Here is a 7,894-nt window from a genome sequence, read left to right as displayed (position 1 = left end):
TAAATGTGAAAAACTCATGGAGTAAAAAAAAATATTGCACACACACATGCACATATACATACATGCAGTAAGCTTAAATATTAACAAAGGAAATAAAAGATTGCCTTCATTAGCTCTAAAATTAAAAAAGAGCTCTTCTGGAAGCAGACTTTTCTAAGCATACATGAAGCAAGAATAAGGCAAAACGATTTAGGCAATTTTTCCCACCAGGATGACATAAAAGGTAACTGAAGAATATAAAACTTGGTGGGGGGAGTGATGTCAACAAGATGGCAGAATAAAAAGCCCAGGACCTCCCTTTTCCAGAAACTAATTCAATGACGAAATATATAGACTTTTTTTGTGCATGAGTCATCCAGAAACTAGTTGAGAAGATCCTGCATCTGATAACAGGGACACCAGTCACATTCACCTTTCAAGAAAATTTTAGGTACCCTTTTGCCATCACCACTCCAAGCAGAGTGCAATATAATCAGAAAGAAACTTTCAGCACCCTGATTTTCCACAAAAAATTTTCCCTGCTAAATTGGACCTCACATTCAATGTTTCAATTTTTTCCAGGGAGTGTCCAAAGTAGCAGCTTCTACCTCACCTGTCAAGGAGCACTAACAGGACTGAGCATACTCTAAATGACTAGTGCCAATGAGAACAATAGCAGTTTGGGCCAGCATGAAGGCTTGAGGAAATCTGCAGAATCTTTGGACAGGCTGATTACCAGGGTCTTCTCCCATATGAGGCCAGTCCATGAAGACTGGGAGAGATGGCTGTTGTTTCTAATATACAGATAGCGCATAATGAGTCAAAAAAACTGAAGAAGCAGGGAAATGTGTTTCAAACAAAGAAATAAGATAAATCTTCATTAACCAAAATTAGTAAAACAAAGATATATAATTTCAATGGGGGAGAATTCAAAATAACCATCATAAAGTTGCTCAACAAAGTAAGAAAACAACAAATTCACAAAGAGAGAATTTCAACAACGATATAGAGACTATTAAAAAGTACCAAACAGATATCTTGAAGGTAAAAAAATATATAATAGACTGAAAGATTCACTAGAAGGGTTCAACAGCACTAAATCAAGCAGAAGAAAAAATCAGCAAACTTGGAGGAAGGTCATTGGAAATTATCCACTCAAAGAAGCAAAAATAATTAAGAATGAAAGCTTTAGGGACTTACAGGACACCATCTAGTAAACCTATACACTCGTTATGTAAGCCTCAAACAGGAAAGGAGAGAAAGGAAAAGAAAGTTGATTCGAATAAATAATGGCTTAAAGCTTTCCAAATCTGGAGGAAAATGGAAATTCAGATTCAGGATGCCAAATTGTTCCCACATAAAAGGATTCCAAAGAAATCTCTGTACTGAAACAAATTGTCAAAATCAAAGACGAAGAATTTTGAAAGAAGCAAGAGAAAAGTGACTCATTATGTATAAAAGATCTGCCTTAAGACTATCAGATTTTTTTCAATAGAATCTTTGCAGACCAGAAGGGAGTAGAATAATATATTCAAACTGATGAAAGAAAAAAATAACCTGCCAACCACAATGCTGTACCAGCAAAACTGTCTTTCAGATATGAAGGAGAAATAAAATATAAAAATATTAACCACTATAATAATTTATATAATTTATAATAATAATTAACAAAATATTAAACCCTATAAAATATGTTTATCAATACACAAAATAGATGTAAACTTTGACAGCAGTAACATAAAGTTTGTGCGTGTGAGGGGGTTTAATTATATGCAATTTAAGTCATTAAGAACTTAAACTGTTATAAAAAGATGTTTTATTTAAGCTTCATGGTAACCATAAAGAAAATATCTATAGAAGATACACAAACAAAAAAGAGAAAGGAATCAAAACACATCCATACAAAAACAATCAATTAAATACAATGGTAGACATCTAGGAAAGAAAGGAGGGACAAAGGGACTACAAGACACACAGAAAACAGCGAATAAAATGACAACAGTAAGTCCTTTCCTATCAATAATTACTTTAAATGGATTAAATTTCCCCAATCAAATGATGCAGTGGTTATAAGACTGAGGTCCTTGTGTCCTTGCTGACTGCGCACTGGAAGTCATTTTCAGAATGTAGAAGCCACCTACACATATTCCCATGCTTACGGACTCCATGATTCTGTCATCAAAGGCAAGTCACTTTCTTTCAGCCTCATTACTCTAGTCTCCAGCTGCAGAAAGTTTCCTGCTTTGAAGGACTCTTGTGATTAGATTGGGCCTATTTGGGTAATCCAGGGTAATGTCTTTATGTTTTAAGGTTCATAAAGTTAATTACATCTGCAAAATACCTTTGCTACATAATGTAATGTATTCATATTTCAAGGATTATAGTGCAGGCATCTTTGGGAGGCTCACTCTGCCTACTACATATATACGCATTGTGAAAAATGTTTTAAAACCAGATGTTACTGAGAAATACTGGCCTAGTCTGAGTTAACACAATGCATTCGAGCTCATGTTTATTTCTCTTAATTCAATAGTTGGGGTTCTCTTCTCATTGTTTAGCTGCTAATACAACTAAAATTATAATTTTCCATTTGTTTGTGTCAACTATGATTTCTTTCAACAATGTGTTGTTGTTTTCCTTGTAGAGATATTTCACCATCTTTACTCCTTTGTATTTTATTTATTTGTGGCTATTGTACACGGAATTGCATTCTGGATTTGGTTCTCAGCTTGAACATAATTGGTGTATAGAAATAGTACTGATTTTTATACATTGATTTTGTATCCTGAAACTTTACTGAAGTTGTTTACTAGGTCTAGGAGTCTTTTGAAGAAATATTCAGGGTATTCTAGGTATAGAATCATGTCATCATTGAACAGAGATAACTTGATTTTTTCTATATGAATGCCTTTTATTTGTTTCTTTCGTCTGATCACTCTGGCAAGGATGTCCACTACTATGTTGAGTAGGAGTAGTGAGAATGGACATCCTTGTCTTGTTCCAGTTCTTAGGGGGAATGCTTTTAACTTTTGCCTGTTCAGTATGATGTTCACTGTGGGTTTGTCACAAATAGCTCTTATTATTTTGAGGTATATCCCTTCAATTCCTACTTGTTGGTGTTTTTTTTTCATGAAAGGATGTTGCATTTTATAGAATTATTTTTCTATTTCTGTTGTGATGATTATATGATATTAGTATTTAATTTTATGTGGTGAATCATATTTATTGATTTGCATATGTTGCATACCACAAATAAAGCCCACTCAATTGCTCATTTGTGATGAATGTTTTTTTGATGTGCTGCCAGATTGGATTTGCTAGTATTTTTTTGAGAATCTTTACATCTATATTCATCAAAGATTCTGCCTTTTAGTTTTCTTTTTTCATTGTGTTCTTGCCAGGTTTTCATATGAAGATAAAATGTGTTATGTACAATAAATTATGGAAGAATCCCTACTCTATTTTTGGGAATAGTTTCAGGAAAAGATACTAGCTCGTCTGTGTATATCTGGTAGAATTTGGCTGTGAAACTCTCTGGTCCAAGGCTTTTTTTTTGGGAGGGGGCGGGAGTTGGTATGCTTTTTATTACTCATTCTATGCTGTAACTGATTTTTGGTCTGTTCAGAGTTTCAATTTCTCCCTGGTTCATACTTGAGAGGTTCTGTGTTTTCATTAATTTAACCATTTCCCCTAGAATTTCTAGTTTGTGTGCATAGAGATGTTTATAGAAGTCTCTGAGGTTCTTTTATATTCCCATGGGATCTGTTATAATGTTACCTTTATCATTTCTGATAGTGCTTATTTGGATCTTCTCTCCTTTTCCTTTGTTGAATTAGCTAACAATCTATCAATCTTGTTTAAATTTTTTTCAAGAACCAACCTTTTTATTTCGTGACATTTGGATGGGTTCCTAGGTCTCAGTTTCACCTAGTTCTGCTCTGATCTCCAGATTTCTTTTTTTCTGATAGTTTTGGGTTTAATTTGTTCTTGTTTTTCTAGTACCTTTAGATACAATATTAGGTTGTTAATTTAGATTTTTATATGCATTATTTAGGCATTTAGTATAATAAACTTTCCTCTTCGCACTGCTTTTGCTTTATCCCAAAGGTTTTGAAAAGTTTTGTGTCTCAATTTTCATTTGTTTCAAATATTTTTTTTCATTCTGCCTTAATTATATTGTTTACCCAAAAGTCATTCAGGAGCAAGTTGTTTAGTTTCCATGTATTGTGTGATTGTGTGAGTTCCTCTTTGTATTGATTTGTAATTTCATTCCCCTGTGGTCTAAGAAGATGATTGGTATGATTTTATTTTTTTTTTACATTTATTAAAACTTTCTTTGTTACCTAGCATATAATCATTCCTAGACAATCGTCTCTGTAAAGATGAGAATGTATATTCTGTGTTTGTTCAGTGTTGTATTCTATACATATCAATATGGTCCATTTTGTCAATTCTCCAAATTATGTCCAGAAGTTCTTTGATAGTTTTCTTCCTCAGTATTCTGTCTAATGCTGTTAATAGAGTGTTGAAGACCCCCACTACTACTGTATGGCTTTCTGTATCTCAGAGATAGCAGTAATTTTTATTATTATTATTATTATACTTAAAGTTCTGGGGTACATGTGTAGAACGTGCAGTTTTATTACATGAGTATATACATGCCATGGTGGTTGGCTGCACCCATCAACCCGTCACCTACATTAGGTATTTCTCTTAATGCTATCCCTCCCTTAGCCCCCCACACCCTGACAGACTCTGGTGTGTGATGTTCCCCTCTCTGTGTCCACGTGTTCTAATTGTTCAACTCCCACTTATGAGTGAGAACATGCAGTGTTTGGTTTTCTCTTCTTGGGATAGTTTGCTGAGAATGATGGTTTCCAGCGTCATCCATGTCCCTGCAAAGGATATGAACTCATCCTTTTTTATGGCTGCATAGTATTCCATGGTGTATATGTGCCACATTTTCTTTCTACAGTCTATCACTGATGGACATTTGGGCTGGTTCCAAGTCTTTGTCATTGTGAATAGTGCCACAATAAACATACATGTGCATGTGTCTTTATAGAAGAATAATGGATAATCCTTTGGGTATATACCCAGTAATGGGATTGCTGGGTCAAATGGTATTTACAGTTCTAGATCCTTGAGGAATTGCCACACTGTCTTCCACAATGGTTGAACTAATTTACACTCCCACCAACAGTGTAAAAGCATTCTTATTTCTGCACATCCTCTCCAGCATCTGTTGTTTCCTGACATTTTAATGATCGCCATTCTAACTGGTGTGAGATGGTATCTTGTTGTGGTTTTGATTTGCATTTCTCTAATGACCAGTGATGATGAGGATTTTTTCGTATGTTTGTTGGCTGCATAAATGTCTGCTTTTGAGAAGTATCTGTTCATATCCTTTGCCCACTTATTGTTGGGATTGTTTTTTTTTTTTTCTTGTAAATTTCTTTAAGTTCTTTGTAGATTCCGGATATTAGCACTTTGTCAGATCAATAGATTGCAAAAATTCATAAAAATCCTGGACAATACCATTCAGGACATAGGCATGGGCAAAGATCATGTCTAAACCACCAAAAGTAATGGCAATAAAAGCCAAAATTGACAAATGGGATCGTTTAAATTAAAGAGCTTCTGCAAAGCAAAAGAAACTATCATCAGAGTGAACAGGCAACCTACAGAATGGGAGAAAATTTTAGCAGTAATTGCTCTATAAATCTGAGTGCAGCAATATCAACTGCATATATATTTAGGATAGATAAATCTTCTTGTTGAATTTACCACTTTGTGTTATGCTTTTCTTTATTTTCTTTTACTGTTGTTGGTTTAAAGTACATTTTATCTGATACAAGAATGACCACCTTTGATCTTTTTCATTTTCCATTCGCATGATATATCTCTCCATCTTTTTACTTTGAGTGTATGGGTGTCCTTATATGTGAGAAGTGTCTCTTGAAGGCAAAAGAAGGTTGGGTCTTGTTTTTTTTATTTAATTTACTACTCTATGTCTTTTAAGTGGAGAATTTAAGCTATGTCCTAGGTTAATATTAATATGTGAGATTTTGTTTCTGTCATAGTGTTGTTAGCTAGTTGCTTTGTAGTCTCAATTGTATATTTGCTTTATAGGGTCTGTGGGCTTTGCACTTACATTTTCTTTTATGGTAGCAGGTATTGTTCTTTTGTTTCTATGTCTACAACTCCTTTTAGCATTTCTTGTAGGGTTTGCCTGGTGGTAACAGATTTCCTTCGTATTTGTTTCTCTGGAAAGTACATTATTTCTCTATTGTTTATGAAGCTTACTTTGGCGAAATATAAAATTTTTGGCTGTTTCTTTTTTTTCTTTGAGAAGGGTAAAAATAGGCCTCTAATCTCTTCTGCCTTGTAAAGTGTCTGCTAAGATGTGCACTATTAGTCTTATGGGATTTCTATTACAGGTAATTTGGTCCTTTTCTCTAACTGCCTTTAAGATTTTTTTTTTCTTTTGCATTCATGTTGTATAGTCTAATGACTATGTGCCTTGAGGATGGTTATGTTTTGTAGTATCTCCTAGTAGTTTTCTGAATTTATTGTTTTAGATGTCAACATCTCTAGCAAGATTGAGGAAATCTTCCTTAATTATTCCCTCAAATATGTTTTCTATGTGGGTTACTTTTTCTTCTTCTGTTTCAGGAATGCCAAGACATACGTTTGATCACTTTCCCTAATCCCACATTTCTTGATGGCTTTGTTCATTTTATTAAAATCTTGAATTGATTAATTCATGAAAACTAGCCTTCAAGCTCTGAAATTCTTTCTTCTGGTTTGTCTAGTGTATTGCTAAGTCTCACAACTGTGATTTGAAATTCTTGTGGTGAATTTTTTAATTCCAGATGTTCTGTTTGGTTCTTCCTTAATATAGCTATAATGTCTTTCATATTCTGAATCATTTTTTCAGCTTCTTTGTATTAAATTTCAACATTCTATTGGATCTCATTGAGTTTCCTTGCAGTCCATCTTTTGAATTCTTCATCTATCATTTCAGACATTTCAATCCGGTTGCTAGGGAGCTACTGCGATATTTTGGAAGTGTCAGAACACTCTGGTTTTGTACCGCCAGAGTCATTACGTAGATGCTGATTAATTCTCATCTGAGGGAAGTGTCACGTCTTATTTTTGAATTTGCTATCATTTGAATGGGGCTTTTCTTATTTTTTAAATTCTTTTTTTTTCCTTGAGCATACAACTATCATGTATGTTGTGTATGAGCATTTGGCTTAATTTTCGGGTGTTTGCAGGAGGCCAAGACTCTATATGGGTTCCTTGCCTGGGATAGGTTTCATCAGGTGGCTTTCTTAGATGCTGTTTGTTGCAGGCACACATAATTTTTTGATGGTGCAGTTCGGGCTTCCCTCTAGTAGACGATGCTTAACAGTAGGAGCCAGCTAGTAGGCTGGTGTGGAGTTGTCACATCCACCCTGATGGAGGTGGCAGGAAGAAACTGTGATTGGGTGCTCTGAAGCCTTGGGGATAGCACTGGGGAATGCACCAGCTTCTCATTTTGAGCTGGCAGAAATGTGATCCACTTCCCTAACATTCACCTGTCATGGGGCTAATGACTTACTGTTTAAAAGGCGTTGTCCTTTGGTTTCCAGGTGCAATGCAGCTGCGGACTGCAGATCCGCCTTTATGATGGCTACCTCCGGAATGAGATTCCAAGCAGAGCATCTTCTTTTAGTGCAAGGAAGGCAGCTCTGTGGCCTGTCCTCTCATTGCCAGGCCACTGCTGGTCTGTGTAGGGAACGGGAGTTGGGCTCTGCAATTTTGAAAGCCTGAGCAGGTGTAGGCTATCTTTTGTGGGGTGAACAGGGGTGTGAGACATGTTTTCTTTCCATGCACAGTTGCCAGGCCCCAGTGGGAAGAATTGCTGCTG

At 35.4% G+C, this 7,894-nt stretch overlaps 1 annotated feature.

The window, feature by feature from the left end:
- Nucleotides 2,038-2,238: a silencer, noted in NCBI's record as "peak5174 fragment used in MPRA reporter construct". NCBI's record gives its function as "represses an SCP1 promoter by STARR-seq MPRAs in K562 erythroleukemia cells {active_cell/tissue: K562}" and the evidence as "EXISTENCE:reporter gene assay evidence [ECO:0000049][PMID:32103011]".

This window comes from Homo sapiens, chromosome 5 (genome assembly GCF_000001405.40).
Source record: "Homo sapiens chromosome 5, GRCh38.p14 Primary Assembly".
Classification (NCBI taxonomy): Eukaryota; Metazoa; Chordata; class Mammalia; order Primates; family Hominidae; genus Homo; species Homo sapiens.
Note: the sequence above shows the minus strand (reverse complement) of the source record. Positions and strands in the feature narration are given on the sequence as shown.